The sequence below is a fragment of the Homo sapiens genome, chromosome 15 (genome assembly GCF_000001405.40).
Source record: "Homo sapiens chromosome 15, GRCh38.p14 Primary Assembly".
NCBI classification, from domain to species: Eukaryota; Metazoa; Chordata; class Mammalia; order Primates; family Hominidae; genus Homo; species Homo sapiens.
The window spans coordinates 74765730-74781865 of NC_000015.10; the positions used below are offsets into that span (position 1 = coordinate 74765730).

Here is a 16136-nt window from a genome sequence, read left to right on the forward strand (position 1 = left end):
TTTTTTACCAATTACATTGGGAAAGATGTATGGTGTTAGCAAGGGTGCTGAAAAGTTGGCATTCATATTTATCATTGGTGGAAGTGAATTTTAGTTGAAAAGTAAAGCTTTAAACATTATGCTAAGTGAAATAAGCCAGTTACAAAAACACAAATACCGTATGGTTCCACTTTTGTGAAATACCTAGAATAGTCAAAACCCTACAGATAGACAGAACAGTGGTTGCCTGGGGCTGGGGAGAAGGGGGAATGGGGAGTTAGTGTTTAATGGGTAGGGTTTCAGGTTTACAAGATGGAAAGGGCTCTGGAGATGGACAGTGGTGATGGCTGCACAACATTATGAGTGCATTTAATACCACTAAACTGTGTACTTAAAAATGGTTAAGATGGAGGCTGGGCACGTTGGCTCACTTCTGTAATTCCAGCACTTTGGGAGTCTGAGGTGGGTGGATCACTTCAGGTCAGGAGTTCAGGACCAGCCTGGCCAACATGGTGAAAACCCCATCTCTACTAAAAATATAAAAATTAGCCGGGCATGGTGGCGGGTGCCTGTAACCCCAGCTACTCGGGAGGCTGAGGTGGGAGGATTGCTTGAGCCTGGGAGGTAGAGGTTGCAGTGAGTTGAGATGGCTCCACTGCACTCCAGCCTGGGCAACAGAACGAGAGCCCATTAAAAAAAAAAAAAAAAGGTTGGCTGGGCACAGTGGCTCACACCTGTAATCTCAGCACTTTGGGGGGCTGAGGCAGGAGGATCATCTGAGGTCAAGAGTTCAAGACCAGCCTGGCCAACATGGTGAAACTCTGTCTCTATTAAAACTACAAAAATTAGCTGGGCATTGGGAGGCAGAGGTTGCAGTAAGCCCAGATCATGCCACTGCGCTCCAGCCTGGGCAACAGAGCGAGACTCCATCTCAAAAAAAAAAAAAATAGCCAGGTATGCCGGGCGCGGTGGCTCACGCCTGTAATCCCAGCACTTTGGGAGGCTGAGGCGGGTGGATCACCTGAGGTCAGGAGTTCGAGACCAGCCTCAACATGGAGAAACCCCGTCTCTACTAAAAGCACAAAATTAGCCAGACATAGTGGTGAATGCCTGTAATCTCAGCTACTCGGGAGGCTGAGGCAGGAGAATTGTTTGAACCCAGGAGGCGGAGGCTGCAGTGAGCCAAGATTGTGCCATTGCACTCCAGCCCAGGCGAAGGAGCGAGACTCCATCTGAAAAAAGAAAAGAAAAGAAAAGAGGAGGGTGGGCGCGGTGGGTCACGCCTGTAATCCCAGCACTTTGGGAGGCTGAGGCGGGCGGATCACAAGGTCAGGAGTTCGAGACCAGCCTGGCCAATATGGTGAAACTCTGTCTCTACTAAAAATACAAAAATTATCCGGGAGTGGTGGCGGATGCCTGTAGTCCCAGCTACTCGGGAAGCTGAGACAGGAGAATCGCTTGAACCCGGGAGGCGGAGGTTATAGTGAGCCAAGATCGAGATCGGACCACTGCACTCCAGCCTGGGAGATAGAGCGATACTTTGCTTCAAAAAATAAAAAATCAAAAAAAAAAAAAAGAGGAAAAAGAGTTCTAGGCAGAGGGACCAACCTGTGCAAAGGTCCTGAGGCAGGAAAGGGGTTACTGTGTGCTTGAAGGCAAATTATCACCCCTCTTAGGAAAGGCATAGCCTCACCTGTGAAATAACCCAAATTTAGAGATGGAGAGACAGAGGTTCAGAGAGGGAAGATGGCTTCTTCAGGAAAGCAGAAGAGCCAGAACTGAAACCTAGATCTTTTTGGCTCTATGAACTCAGAGGTATTTCAGGTATGCATTTGGGGACCTTTTGCAAGATTGTAAAGACCAGGACGGGAAGGAAAGGGCCACCCTCCGGGGGCTTTTCTTTTCCTGGGAAGAAGGTCTTCTTTCCAGGAAGGTGGTGTACGGGCAAGGCTGAAAACCCAGCCTTCATTCTGCCAGGCCAGTCCCCTCCTAGTCCCTGCTGCCCCAGGGCTGCAGAATCCTATCCTGGCTCCTGCCAGGCTCCCCTGCAGCTGGGCAAACAGGCAGTGGGTGGGACTCGGTATAATTTCCTCCTTGCCCGCCTGGGGTCTGCTAGGCTCTGGCTGAGCTCTCTGGCCTCTGCCCTGCACCCCCAACTTGGAGCCCAAAGGGGGTCATGGGTCTTTCTGCCCTGTGTCCCCAGGGATGCACCCGATGAGTTTGAGAAGGGGCTGCCTTCTCACCCAGAGAGAGGTGAGGCCATCCCCTCACCCAGAGAGGGGCTCCAGGCCCCACTCCAAGGGAGAGTCAGAACTTCCCGGTGCCTACAGGCGCACTGTGCTAAACCAGTGTGAGCATCCTGCGCTGATAATGCTACATGCATAAGCTGCGGATGCACAGGGGCTCAGACTCAGGGGACTGTGGGGAGTCCTGGCAGCCACATATACATCGGGCTCACCCCTGTAGCACCCCATCTAGAAAAGCCCATCCAGAGCCAGAAGGGGCTTCTGGGGATGGTTCCTGGAAGGGCTGGGTTCTGCTGTTCTCTGAGTGACCAATCCACCCATTCTTTCCAGAAATGGTCCTATCCCATCTCCTTCCCCTCCAGCCGCTCTCGGTTCCCTGCCCTCATCCACCCAGGATGTCACTGGGCCTGCTGCGAGTGGCTGCCCGGGGAAAAGGCCAGGAGCTCTGCAATGAGCCTGTAATCCCAGCACTTTGGGAGGCTGAAGTGGGTAGATACGCACTACACACAAGCCAGCACCAGGTTCCTCCCACCCAGGGGATGACAGAGGAGCTCCAGCTCACCACCGTGCCTCAAGTCCCCTGCTTAACTGTCCTATGTGAGCTCAGGGCCGCCCTCTGGGGGCTTTTCTTTTATTTATTTATTTATTTATTTATTTATTTATTTATTTATACTTTAAGTTTTAGGGTACATGTGCACAATGTGCGGGGCTCCCTTCCTCCCAGCAGCCATGCTGTCACGTGCTCCTTGCCCCGGAGAGGCAGGAATCTGTCCCGAAATGTCGAGCTGAAACGCTTCCTGGACGCTTGCTACAACCGTGGTCTTCAAATTCTACTAAATTTTTCCAGTGGCAGGATTCACTGTTGAAAGGAAAGCTTCCCACCTTGCCTGTTCCTCCTAACCCCAAAAAAGTCGGGCTTGTGATCTATGGGGAGAAGAATAGCCCCCGCCCCACACCCATCTGATGCCCAATTCTTCCCAATCCATCAGCCCCCAGCCCTGTCCTCATGTCAGGATCTGCCCGCGTCACTCTCCCCAGCCAAGAACTGGAGCCGAAAATGCAGTGTAGGCTGCCCCCTCGTGGGCAGTTAGAGAAACACATGTTTCTCATAGCTGCTAGCCTTTACCCACTGTCTTGGGGACCCCACCCCAAATAAAAAGGCAACCTAAGGAATAAGCGACTTTGTTTTGCAAATACAACTTCAAGACAAGTCTCAAGTCAGTCCTATGCAGAAATTCTAGAGAAGCCACTAAGAGTGGCCAGAGGACAGCCCCCCACTTCCTCTCATTCCCCAGCCTGGTCCTCATAGACCCACCTGGAGTAGAAATTCCTCGTGCAGGCCAGGCGTGCTGGCTCACACCTATAATCCCAGCACTTTGGGAGGCTGAGGCGAGCTGATCACATGAGGTCAGGAGTTCGAGGCCAGCCTGGCCAACAGGGTAAAACCCCGTCTCTACTAAAACTACAAAAAAAAAAAAAAAAAATAGCCAGGTATGGTGGCAGGCACCTTTAATCCCAGCTACTCAGTAGGCTGAGGCAGGAGAATCGCTTGAACCCAGGAGGCAGAGGTTGCAGTGAGCCAAGATCACGCCACTACACTCCAGGCAGGGTGACAGAGCAAGACTCCATCTCAAAAAAACAAAACAAAACAAAAAAAACACCAATTCCTCATCTAACTCCCTGCCAGGAGTTCAACTTCTGTTCTCATACTTTTAAGAACAGAGAGCTCACTACCCTCAAGGCTGATTCATTATATTTTCTGTGCTGGGGCACTGGGAACACTGATGGTGCAGATCCATTTGTAACCTCCTGGGACTCTCACATTGCTCACTTAGCTGGAGCAACAGGTGAGAAAACGAGGGTTGCAGGTGTGCCAAAGGCACAGGGATGAGAGCGGCCAGTTCTTCACGGACCTACACCTCCACCTGCCTCTTCTCAGGGATCTTATATTCAAAGGGATTAAATTCCAGGATCTTGGAGATGGCTGCAGTCCAGCTGCCCCCTTGCTTCTGCTTTCACTTGAGAATCAGCCGAAGTTCCCCGAGCACCTGCTCCATGCCAGGTCCCTCCTGGCACTTTGTCCCACTTAGTCCTTAAAGCTCGCTGTGATAGCGATGTGCTAATGCCCACTGGGCAGATGGGGACAGAGGCGCAGGAGGTCACTTGCCCAGGATGACACCTCTAGTCATTTGCGGAGTTGGATCTGGCCTCAAGCTTGCTGGTGGCTCTTGGAGCCCATGCAGAAGTGACTGGGGCAACACATGACACTCCAACTTGGCATTCCCCTCAAAGGGCCTGGACCAAGCCAAAAGCTGCGGAGAAGGCTCAGGGCAGACTGTGAAGTCAGGAGTTTGACCCCAGCCTGCTATGTCATGCTCCTCCTTCCTGGCCCTGCCTCCACCTGTGCCCTATCTCTGCCTCCCACCTCAAGGTCCAGGACTGTTGCAACCAGACCCTCCTACCCCAACCATGTCCAGCAGGAGATGGTCCCTGCACCAGAAGCTTCTGAAGGTCTACATGGAGGGCTGGCAGGCAGAAGGCAAACATCTCCCCCAACTTGCAGCCCTTCACTGCCGAGCAAACCTAGGACCTGGGGCCTGGGGTCTCTGCAGCTGCCATCTGGTGACCTCCTCATGGGGCAGGAAAAAGAGTTCAGGCTCTGGGGTGGTTCTGTAAATCACCCTCTGTGGGTCTCCCTTGCCCTACAGTTAAGATCTAGATGCTACTGTTTTCCTTGAAGGAAGATGATCAAATGAGAGCAAATGTGCAAACACCCAGCACACAGTAGGTGTTCAACAAAGTGTGCCTTCCTACCTGTCCTCACTTTGCTCTTATTACTCAGGAAAATCTGAGGATGTCAGCAACACTGAGGCCAATCCAGGATCCCCAGGGGCCAGCGTGGTGGTGGCCTTCAAATCAGGGAGCAGCCCACGGTAGGGGGCCCTGTGGGGTCCCAGCAGCCATATGCTGATCTGGCTCACCCACCCCCCAGCACCTCCTCTAGAAAAGTTATTCCACAGCCAAATGGGGCCCCTTCCAGCTCCCTGCCCTCATCCACCCAGGACCTGCCCTGTGATGCTCGCAATCGGGAACAGTCAGCTCTGGCTCCAGCCCTAGGTAAGCCTGGGACATGGTCCTCCCAGGAGCCAAACGGCTCATCTTTCCCAGAGCAGACATGCGCCTGCTCTCCAGGCGTGCCTCTGAGCCTGCCCGACAGGGCAGTGTGACCTTGCCTGCCTCTCTGTCGCTCTCTCATTCCTTCCCCTTGAGCTCTGTGTTGTGGCCACCAGGAGGCGCTGTTCCCCCTCAGACCCGAGTAGACCAACAGCCCAGCGCCACCAGAGACCAGACTGGATTCTAGATTTTCTCTTTTTTTTTGAGATGGAGTCTCGCTCTGTCGCCCAGGCTGGAGTGCAGTGGCATAATCTCCGCTCACTGCAACCTCCACCTCCTGGGTTCAAGCGATTTTCCTGCCTCAGTCTCTGAGTAGCTGGGACTACAGGCGTGCACTATCACGCCTGGCTAATTTTTTGTATTTTTAGTAGAGACAGGGTTTCACCACGTTGGCCAGGCTGGTCTTAAACTCCTGAGCTCAAGTGATCCGCCCACCTCGGCCTCCCAAAGTGCTGGGATTACAGGCGTGAGCCACCAAGCCAGGCCTGAATTCTAGATTCTGAAAGAGGCAGGAGGCGAGTAATCACCCAGAGTGCAAGGGAAGACAATGGCCTTTGTCTAATTGCTGTGAATCTGGCACTTCAAACGCAAGACCTGACCTCATCTTCCCACCCGCCATGATGGGGGTGGGGTCAGGGGGCACCAGTCAGGCTTCTAAGTCACAAACAACAGAGACTGACCTCCAGCTAACATTAGCAGAAAATAAATGCCCCGCTCACAAAGACAGAGAACCAAGCTGGGAATAGGGCAGTCACCCAGGGAAAGTAAGGGCTCCAGTGCGGCTGGAACAGGGCACTGCCAGCAAACATCATCTCCCTGGGCCCCAGTCACACATCCTGGCCCTAGCCGGCCTGACTCATCCCAAGCTTTGGTCCTGTCTCCCCAACATCTATCCTCACTCATTCAGCAAAGCGGGGGGTGGAGGTGGGTGTCAGCACCCGCGCCAGGCCCCACGCAAGGGGCTGGCTCCCAGCAGCCCACCTGGTGGGCCTCCTCAGTGAGCTGCCAAACACACTGCTGGCTGGTCACTTGGTGGAGACAGGCATTGAGAGCTGGCTACACCACCAGCTGCAGAGGACTTGGAGTCGCTGAGGGCTGCAGGCTGCAGGAGGCAACCTGGCTGCGGGGTGAGGGTGGGAATCTTTAGGGGATAAGAACTGGCCCCAGGCTGGGCGCGGTGGCTCACTCCTGTAATCCCAACACTTTGGGAGGCCAACACAGACAGATCATGAGGTCAAGAGATCGAGACGATCCCGGCCAACATGGTGAAACCCCGTCTCTACTAAAAATACAAAAATTAGCTGGGCGTGGTGGCATGCACCTGTAGTCCCAGCTACTCGGGAGGATGAGGTAGGAGGATTGCTTGAGCCCAGGAGGCAGAGGTTGCAGTGAGCTGATATCGCACCACTGTACTCCAGCCTGGGTGACAGAGCAAGACCCTGTCTCAGAAAAAAAAAAAAAGGATCGGCCCTGGGTTCGGTGGCTCACACCGTAATCCCAGCACTTTGGGAGGGCGAGGCAGGTGGATCACTTGAGGTCAGGATTTCTCAAGACCAGCCCGGCCAACATGGTGAAACCCCATCTCTACTGAAAATACAAAAATTAGCCAGGCATAGTGGCACACGCCTGTAGTCCCAGCTACTCAGGAGGCTAAGGCAGGAGAATCACTTGAACCTGGGAGATGGAGCTTGCAGGGAGCCAAGATCGCTCTACTACACTCCAGCCTGGGCGACAAAGTGAGACTCTGTCTCAAAATAAAAGAAAAAAAAGAAAAGAAGGAACTGACCCTGGCTGGAGGGAGAGGTGACTGGGACCTCCCGGGGCTACCTCAATGTCAGGAGAGCACTCCTGGAGACCCAAAGCTTCCAGTTAGGGATTCAAGAAGATAGACTGGGGCGCGGGCAATAGGGATGCAGGCAAGGAGCTTCTCCTTGGAACGGGAGCCCTGAGACCCCCGGGGGAAAATCTGGTCACTCACGTATTCATTCAGCACACATTTATGGCTACAGGCTCTGTGCCTTCCCATGGAGAGACAGAAGAAAGGGAGCCAGTCCCTGTCCTCACGGAGCTCACCTCACCCAAACACACACTCTCTAGAAGGAAATTCTGGGGGTCTTACGGGCCAAAAGGAAGGGGCATTTCCCTCCAGGTCCTCTGGAGTCCCCTGACAAAGGGCCCTCCAGGCCTCATCCCTGACTCACTGGGGCTTCCAAAGTCTCCTCCGGCTCAGGGAGTATCTATCCCTGGCCCCAGCCCCCAGCCCAGTTCCACCCCACCCCCAATCAGGCAAGGAGGTCTTTCAAAAGCTCCTCTGATCTCTGACAGGGACAATGTTGGCACACAGGTTTCTTCACAGGTGTAACACCTGGGCGGGGGCATTTGCATGGGTTTTGCAAAAGCTGGGCCTGAGGCTCACCAGTGCCCAGTTGCTCTCTCTTCCCAGCCCTCGCAGAGCAGACCTCCTGCTCCTTCTCACCTGCCCCACCTTGGGCCAGGTCTCTAACCTTTGCACTGCAGAGAACCCCAGGGCCTCTTTTCCTGCTTTCGCCCAAAGAGTTCCCAGGAGGAAAGCCAGAACAGTGCCAACTGCGGCTTCCAGTCAGCAAGGCAGAGCCTGGGGACTATTGGGTTCAGCACAAAAGTGACCCCTGACAGCATTGAGGGAGATATGTCAGCCTGCTGTGAGCCCAGGACTCCAGGTGGGAACCAGGTAGCTCTGGCTCTGCCCAATTCCAGCTGCTCCAGTGCCTGGAAGGTAGTAAACACGCCCTCAATATTTAGTGAATGGATGAATGAGGGTTTTCAATTCATCAGCCATTGCGAAACTGTAGGCCTAGGAACAGACAAAAGGCCTGGCCCTACCCTTGGAAAGCCCGACTGAACCCAGCAGGGGAGAGCCAGAACTACAAAGCCTGTTTCAGGAGTGAGAGAAAAAATATTCATCTAACTGCCGTGGTGTGAAAGTCTGCCTTGTGTCAAAGAACCCTGCTAAGCAAGCAACTTTACATCATCTCGGTTTAGCATAAGTCCCCTGTGACATGGGTCCTCTCAGTCCCACTTTAGAGATGAGGAAACTGAGGCTCAGAAAGGTTCAGTGACTTTTGCTTAAGGTCACAAGGCTGGGATGGGGTGCAGCCAGGACTCCAACCTGGAAGACTTTGTAATAAATTGAGCAAGAATGATGTGGTGGCATCCCGGGTCCCTTTTCCCCCAGCTGGGATCTGGTGACTGTGTCCTCCTTAAATCCCTCTTTAGTTTTCTTATCTGCAAATAGAAGTAATAATAATATCTACATTGTAAAGAGATTGGGAGGATCAAATGAAACTTAAGACATGTAGAATAGCCAGGCAGGCCCCTGTAGTCCCAGCTACTCTGAGAGGCTGAGGCAGAAGGATTGCTTGAGCCTAGAAGCTCCAAAACCATCCTAGGCACATAGGGAGACCCTTTCTCAAAAAAAAAGTAAACAGCAGGGTGCGGTGGCTCACACCTGTAATCCCAGCACTTTGGGAGGCCAAGGCAGGTGGATCACTTGAGCTCAGGAGCTCCAGACCAGCCTGGCCAAGATGGCGAAACCCTGTCTCTACTAAAAATACAAAAATTAGCTGGGTGTGATGGCACGCATGTGCCTGTGGTCCCAGCTACTTGCTGGGAGGCTGAGGTGGGAGAATCACTTGAACCCAGGGTGGGGGGAGGGGGGTGGCAGTGGAGGTTGCAGGAGATGAGATCGCACCACTGCACTACAGCCTGGGCAACAGAGCAAGACTCTGTCTCAAAAACAAACAAACAAAAAGACACGTAAAATGCTTAGAATGATGCTAGCACATGCAACACCTACATTAGCATTGCCTATTATTATTATTATTAATTGAAATTCATATCACTTATTCATTCAACAAACGTTTGAGTACCAGGATTCAGCCTCCAGCAGCCGATCAGGACACAAATACGAAGTGGGTAGTCAGTGCTATAATACTAAGAAGTGGGCCAGTGAGGGACAATAGCAGAGGGGAGGCTTCCAGCCTTGGGATGTGGGAAGAGGTCATCAAAGCTTCCCGAGGACAGCCAGTCAATTCTCCAACCAGAAGCAGAAGTAATATTTTTAACATGCAAATCTGATCAGCTGAGGCTGTGGTGAACCCTCAAATAGCATGGGGGCGGGGCCCCGATGCCCTAAGGATGAAGTCCAAAGACTCCCCTATTCCACAGGGGATCCTACAGGCTCTGGCCATTTGCGCCTCTGCTTCCAAGGCTCTGACCCCATCCCATCCTGGCCTGTTTTCCTTTTGCCCAAAGCTCAATCCCTTCCAGTTCCAGGGCCTCTGCTCCTGTTGCCCCCTCTGCCAGGCCCCCAGGCACCACCTCTCCTCCTGCAGGGTCTGAGTGCTCAGGTGAGGAGAGGTCTCTGCTCCGCACTCACACTGCACTTGCACAATCCTCTGGGAACTTGCCTCGCCTTGTTGAACACCTCTGCCCCCACAAGACAGAACATTCCAAGAAGATAGGGACCCAGGAGGAGGGAATCGTGTGCGTGGGGGAGGCGCTGGGACAGCCTGCAGGGATCCCAGGCACCTTGGCGAACTCTTGTCATAGACTTGGCTCTGGATCTGCCCTCTCTAGGGAGATATCAAACCAGGAAGCCCAGGACCCAAAACCTTTGCGATCAGGGGTCTGCCAGTTAACCCCTGAGTGCTGGCTGCCTCAGGCCCCGAGGGTGGGGTCCTCCAGTTCCCAGTGGCCTCTCAGTTGGGTCACCACCACACCACTCAAGCCACCAAGCCAACAAATCAAGACTTCTACCATCATCGCGACGGGAAACAAAAACTAACTTCTCAGGAAATCCTCTTGGAGCAAACTGGTGCAGTGGAGAGAGCTGACCTTGGTCTGACATGAAAAGCGGTTGTGCATAGTAAGTGCTCAATAAATATTAGCTGCTATTATCAATGATAATAATAAAGTACCTGGCACATAGTAGGTGTTCAGTAAATGATAGTTCTCTGGTCCCAGGGGGACAGAAATTAGAGGCAGTCAGCAGCCCCTCCCCACCTTACTCCCAAGGTCCTCCACTTGTACACAGGGATTCAGACCTATGGATCACCAAATCCAAACCCTTCAGTTGCTAGGTAGGGAAACAGGCCTAGAGGAGAAGGACTGGCCCAAAGTAAGAAGCAGTGTCGGCCGGACGCGGTGGCTCACACCTGTAATCCCAATACTTTGGGAGGCCAAGGCGGGCGGATCACAAGTTCAGGAGTTCAAGACCAGCCTGGCCAATATGGTAAAACCCCATCTCTACTAAAAATACAAAAATTAGCCGGGTGTGGTGGTGGCGCCTGTAATCCCAGCTACTCGGGAGGCTGAGGCAGGAGAATTGCTTGGACCTGGGAGGCAGAGGTTGCAGTGAGCCGAGATCACACCATGCACTCCAGACTGGGCGACAAAGCGAGACTCCATCTCAAAAAAAAAAAAAAAAGAAGCAGTGTCTGTCCCTAGAACCTGGGTCTCCTGGGCCAATGCCTCATCCTCATAATAAACTTTCCAGCCTTAGGAGGGAGGTTTTCAGTGCCTAGATTCAGGCAGACATGTTTCCTCCAAAGGACAGCTTTGGAAGGATGGGAGCTCAGGCCTTCTCAGGAGGGCGAGAGGGGTTATTGGGAAGGCCAAGGTTTATCTCTGCAGGAGGAAGTCTCAGCTGCTTGACTTGATGGAATCCCCAAGAGCCTGCTCTCCCGCAGGTCAGGCAGGAAGGGGCAGAGGTCACAGGGGAGGCCTGTCCTGGCCCCTGGTTCCCTGAGTCTTTGCTATCTGTGGGCCTCAGCTGGCACTCAGCCAACAGGCCCCTGGCATTAAGATGACAAGGGCTACTGTGGCCTCTTGGCTTCTCCCTGTTTCTCCCTAGAGACACTCAGCCCCAGCACTGGCCGGATCTCCCTGGCCACCTTCCCTGAAGGCCCCTTTCCCCCTACTTTCATGTCTCAACCCATCCCCACAGCTCAGTGAGACCCTGCACCCTGCACCCTGCACCTTGGATTCATGCCAGGCCTGAGTGACCCACGGCCCATGCCTTTTCTGCTTGGTCCCATTGCCTCACGGGTGCCCCCAAGTTCTGCTTCCTGTCTGTGCCACCGTTAAGCCTCTTTCCTAGTGATGACTCCCGCGACAGCCTCTTTCCGGAGGAGGCGCATTCCTTAAGGGCCTGGTGGGGATGGTGATGACAGGGCCAAAGGACAGCTCCCAAAGCTGGAAAGCCAGCCACTGCGGGGGGCCTGGAGGTGCTGTCAGCAAGGGAAGCTGCCCGGCCCCTCTTGCTAGCAGCCAACTCAGCCTGAGCACCTGCTCTGCAGGAAATAGAAGGGGACTTTGCTGGAAATCTGCCTTTAATCTTGGCTTCCTGTTTTCTGCCCTGGGGGACTGCCCAGACGGTCTGAGTTTCAAGCTATTTCACACCAGCTTCTCTAAACTGTCATCTCTGTGCAAAGAGGCTGGGGGAGGGGAGGAGGCTGGGTGGAGAGAGGAGCGGCCCTTCCCTTCCCAGGGGACCCCATAAGGGTATAAATGCACATACATGTGCATAAGCTCTGGACTGCTGGAGGCCAACCCAACTTTGCATGGAGCTATCCCATTTGGCACTTGTATCATCAAAATGCAGCCAGAAGCTTCTCTCTGGTTCCCCACATCCAGGGGTGGGTCTCCAACCTCTCCTCTCTTCTCCATTCCCCTGGGGCAGGCCCAACAGCCAGGCAAGAGTGGCCCAGCCTCAGAGAGCTAGTGTTCAGTTCCCAACACTGCCTTGACTCCACATTTCACAGGCATCCCAAGCTCATTTTGTCCAAAACCAAACTCCTGAGTGTTCCCCCAGCCTGGCACTCTCCCCAGGTTCTCCCATCTCGCACCATCTCCCCAGGTGCTCCAGCCACACCTGAGGACTGAGGAGTCATGCCTGATTTCTCCTGTGGCCTCACTCCCCACAAACAACCCCTCACGGAGAGCTGCCCTGGGACTTGCCTTTGTCCATTCACTTCCCTATCCCGCTGCTTCCACCAGGGCTAGACCCGTCAGCCCTGGTCCAGGCCATGCAACAGCCTCCTCACTAGGGCTTTGACCTTTGACCTTAACTTTTTTTTTTTTTTTTTCTGGAGTCAGGGTCTCACTCTGTTGCACAGGCTGAAGTTCAGTGGCTCACTGCAGCCTCCATCTTCCCACCCTAAGTGATCCTCCCACCTCAGCCTGGCTGAGATGGGAAGATTGCTAGCTACCAGCACACACCACCATGCCTAGCTAATTAGAAATTTTTTTTTTGTAGAGACAGGGTCTTGCTCTGTTGCCCAGGCTGGTCTCAAACTCCTGGCCTCAAGTGATCCTCTTGCCTCAGCTTCCCAAAGTGCTGGGATCACAGGCGAGAGCCACAGGGCCCAGCCGACCTTCACTCTTTATCATATCACTACCCTGCTTATAAACATCTTTCAATGGCTCCCCATTGCTCATATGATAAAACCTAAACTCCTGTAATAAAAATCTCTGGCCCACAACACCCTATAGAATCTGTCCCTTCCTCAAACACCACTCTCCCCTGCTTGCCGGTCTCATCACCTTGGCCTTCTGGCTGTCCCTTGAGCCACTGAGGCTTTCTGTGCCTCAGGGTCTTTCACTATCTTCCTCCCCACCTGCAATACCCTCCCCCACTCCTCCAACACTGGCCTGGGGCGTGGTGGCTATCGCCCGTAATCCCAGCACTTTGGGAGGCCAAGGTGGGTGGATTATTTGAGGTCAGGAGTTTGAGCCCAGCCTGGCCAACATGGTGAAAACCATCGCTACTAAAAACACAAAAATTAGCTGAACATGGTGGCACACACCTATAGTACCAGCTACGTGGGAGGCTGAGACAGAAGAATGGTTGAATGCCAGAGCGGGAGGTTGTGGTGAGCCGAGATCATGCCACTGCACTCCAGCCTGGGCAACAGAACAAGACTCCGTCTCAAAACAAACAAACAAAAAACAAAACAAAACAAAACAAAAACTTACTAAGACAGTTGTAGATAAAGGCAGATTTATTAGAAAAAGTAGGAAAATACATTGCAAGAAGGCAGAAGAGAAGCTGACTGCCAGGAAACAAAAGGTTGTTGGAGATTTTATAGAATTAGTGTTATGCTATCTGTTGAGGAGGTTTTTGTGCAGTATCAAACGCCAAGGGTACAGTGAGCTAACTTGCCAAGGGTACAGTGAGCTAACTTGCAGGAGTCTGGTGATAGTCGGGCACAGGAAGATTGTGAATTATTTGCACAGGAGAGCTATATGTCCTAGACATGAAGAAAGGCAGACTCACAGCTTATCTAATTTCTCTTTTTGCTTTCCCTTGCTCCCACCGACCAGATTCCCTTTCCCTAATTAGCACTTCCCACCTAGCACTTAGTAGGTGCTCAATAAGCATTTGTTTTTTTGTTTTGTTTTGTTTTGTTTTGTTTTTTTGAGACAGAGTCTCGCTCTATTGCCCAAGCTGGAGTGCCGTGGCGTGATCTCGGCTCACTGCAAGCTCCGCCTCCTGGGTTCACACCATTCTTCTGCTTCAGCCTCCCCAGTAGCTGGGACTACAGGCACCCGCCACCACGCCCAGCTAATTTTTTGTATTTTTAGTAGAGACAGGGTTTCACCATGTTAGCCAGGATGGTCTCGATCTCCTGACCTTGTGATCTGCCTGCTTCGGCCTCCCAAAGTGCTGGGATTATAGGTGTGAGCCACGGCGCCCAGCCCAATAATTCCACCAGAGGACAGGTCTGTGGGAGTGGGGCCCTTTATCGATTTGTTTATGGTTTTATCCCCAGTGCCTGGAGTACAGGAAGATTAAAAAATTTATTTCACTTTGCTGAGAAGAGGTGGAGCCAGGATTCAAATGCTGGTCTATTTGACTCCAAAGTTCACAGCTGGGCCACAGCACACCCAGGGGAAAAAGTCAAGTGCATTTGGGGATAAAGAAAGGTTGGTGACAAAACTGGAACAGGGATTAGAGTATTTTCCCCAAATCCCCAGTCTTTTCTTTCCCATTCTGCTAGCTGATTCAGCCAGGGGAGGGGAGATGTCAATTTCTCCCTCCCAGAAGGCTTTGCAGAGCTGCTGAAGTGCTTTCTTGTAGGCTGAGAGGCGGCCCCCCATCCGGCCCCATATTATCATTCCATCTTGACCTCAGAGGAAAGAAAGGGAAACCAGCTCTGCTGAGCACCCTTTCCACTCCCTCACCCCCAGGCCGTTATCTTGCTGAATCTGCACTATCTATCATGAGAGAAGTATATTTTGAGCCTGATCTTACAAAAGAGGAAACAGCTCAGAGACCTTAGGTAACTAGCCCTAAGTCACACAGCTAGTAAGTGGACGGGTTGAAATTTAACTTGGAGACTTGAACCCCAAATTCATCTTTTTTCTGTTACACCACACCTATCTCTGAAACTTACTGGCTGTCTCCTCAAAGGACATCCCTCTCCAAAGGGCTGGCTCCAGCTGGGAAACCGGCCTAAGGGTGCCCTGGGTCAGAGGGCCGACCTGTGGTTTTGGGGGCAACTCCTCCTGGCATCCGAGGCTCTTTAAAACAATCTGCAGCCACACTGTCTCCCAGCTCCGTCTCCCACAGGGCTGTTTGCCCTCTTCTCGCTCCCTCGGGCCTCTTCATGCTTATTTTGTGTTCCAAGACTTTGTCAGCATGCCCCACTTCCTCCCCCCCAACCCCAAGAGTGCCTCTTCCCTCTGTCCACCCAAGCCTGACCCTTGCTTCAGGGTCTAGTCCCTAGAAAGTCCCCCACCTTTACCTCCTCCCTACGCTGGAGTCTCTGGTCTCGCCCTCATCACTGTATCCCCATTCTGTTCCCCGGTCTCACCCTCATCACTGCATCCCCATTCTGTTCCCCCGCCACCCTGCACTCTCCCACCCCTGTCATGCCTGAGCACGCTGTCCTCTCCTGTGGCTCAGAGCAGGTCATCTCCCTGCTTTTCGTTAACAGTGATGTAACAGCCCTTGCTTAACGGAGGGCTCCTCACGTGCCAGCTACTGCATACTAAGCACTTTAAACGTATTAACTCATTTCCTCCCCTCCCCACAAAAACTTAAGAAGTCGGTGCCATTATATATCACCTATTTTACCAAATGGGGAAACTAAAGCACAGAGAGGTTAAGTAACTTGCCCAAGGTCACAGAGCTGCTGACAACTTCTTTATTGCCTCCAGGCTGAACATAAACTCCAAGAAAGTCCCATGAGGCTCTTTGGATCTCTTTTGCCCCTGTTGTTTGCAGGAACCCATCTCCCACCACTCTCCCCCACCCACACTGCAAGCGGCAGCCGCCTGAGCTATATTTAGATCCCAGAAGCCACCAAGCTCCCTCCGCACTCCCCGCCCTTGTGCATGCTGTTCCCTCTGCCTGGTCCCGGCTCTGTGAGGTGTGAGGTCTCCCCGTTAGCCCTAGTTTTCTTTCTGCCTCCTGGGAACCGTGTCCACCACCTCTCCACTTTGATCAATTATTTCCTTGCCGTTGTCTGTCGGCCTGTCAGCCTACCCCCACCCGACCGAGAACGCCTTGACGGTAGTGAAATGGTCTTGCCAATAGACTCCAGAGCAGGCTCCGCCACGATGTCAGCGCCAGGAAATGTTGGTGAATGAATGAATGAAGGCTTTCTGCTGCGAATCAGGCCCACTCTCCACAAACAGACCTGAGGAGAGGGGCCCAGGCCCGGCCCCCAGCGCTTCTGCAGCGGGAAAGCT

General features: G+C 52.9%; 10 annotated features.

The window, feature by feature from the left end:
* Window positions 1605-2382: an enhancer, noted in NCBI's record as "H3K4me1 hESC enhancer chr15:75059675-75060452 (GRCh37/hg19 assembly coordinates)". NCBI's record gives its function as "activates a minimal SCP1, AML or CMV promoter by ChIP-STARR-seq in primed H9 embryonic stem cells {active_cell/tissue: H9 hESC(primed)}" and the evidence as "EXISTENCE:reporter gene assay evidence [ECO:0000049][PMID:30033119]".
* Window positions 5547-6262: an enhancer, noted in NCBI's record as "H3K27ac-H3K4me1 hESC enhancer chr15:75063617-75064332 (GRCh37/hg19 assembly coordinates)". NCBI's record gives its function as "activates a minimal SCP1, AML or CMV promoter by ChIP-STARR-seq in naive H9 embryonic stem cells {active_cell/tissue: H9 hESC(naive)}" and the evidence as "EXISTENCE:reporter gene assay evidence [ECO:0000049][PMID:30033119]".
* Window positions 6263-6976: an enhancer, noted in NCBI's record as "H3K27ac-H3K4me1 hESC enhancer chr15:75064333-75065046 (GRCh37/hg19 assembly coordinates)". NCBI's record gives its function as "activates a minimal SCP1, AML or CMV promoter by ChIP-STARR-seq in naive H9 embryonic stem cells {active_cell/tissue: H9 hESC(naive)}" and the evidence as "EXISTENCE:reporter gene assay evidence [ECO:0000049][PMID:30033119]".
* Window positions 7933-8510: an enhancer, noted in NCBI's record as "NANOG-H3K27ac-H3K4me1 hESC enhancer chr15:75066003-75066580 (GRCh37/hg19 assembly coordinates)". NCBI's record gives its function as "activates a minimal SCP1, AML or CMV promoter by ChIP-STARR-seq in primed H9 embryonic stem cells {active_cell/tissue: H9 hESC(primed)}" and the evidence as "EXISTENCE:reporter gene assay evidence [ECO:0000049][PMID:30033119]".
* Window positions 9610-9719: an enhancer, noted in NCBI's record as "active region_9789". NCBI's record gives its function as "activates an Ori minimal core promoter by ATAC-STARR-seq in GM12878 lymphoblastoid cells {active_cell/tissue: GM12878}" and the evidence as "EXISTENCE:reporter gene assay evidence [ECO:0000049][PMID:35858748]".
* Window positions 9740-9809: an enhancer, noted in NCBI's record as "active region_9790". NCBI's record gives its function as "activates an Ori minimal core promoter by ATAC-STARR-seq in GM12878 lymphoblastoid cells {active_cell/tissue: GM12878}" and the evidence as "EXISTENCE:reporter gene assay evidence [ECO:0000049][PMID:35858748]".
* Window positions 12026-12556: an enhancer, noted in NCBI's record as "H3K4me1 hESC enhancer chr15:75070096-75070626 (GRCh37/hg19 assembly coordinates)". NCBI's record gives its function as "activates a minimal SCP1, AML or CMV promoter by ChIP-STARR-seq in naive H9 embryonic stem cells {active_cell/tissue: H9 hESC(naive)}" and the evidence as "EXISTENCE:reporter gene assay evidence [ECO:0000049][PMID:30033119]".
* Window positions 12899-13193: a silencer, noted in NCBI's record as "tiled region #4992; K562 Repressive DNase matched - State 8:EnhW". NCBI's record gives its function as "represses a minimal TATA promoter and a strong SV40 promoter by Sharpr-MPRA in K562 cells {active_cell/tissue: K562}" and the evidence as "EXISTENCE:reporter gene assay evidence [ECO:0000049][PMID:27701403]".
* Window positions 15801-15920: an enhancer, noted in NCBI's record as "active region_9791". NCBI's record gives its function as "activates an Ori minimal core promoter by ATAC-STARR-seq in GM12878 lymphoblastoid cells {active_cell/tissue: GM12878}" and the evidence as "EXISTENCE:reporter gene assay evidence [ECO:0000049][PMID:35858748]".
* Window positions 15941-16010: an enhancer, noted in NCBI's record as "active region_9792". NCBI's record gives its function as "activates an Ori minimal core promoter by ATAC-STARR-seq in GM12878 lymphoblastoid cells {active_cell/tissue: GM12878}" and the evidence as "EXISTENCE:reporter gene assay evidence [ECO:0000049][PMID:35858748]".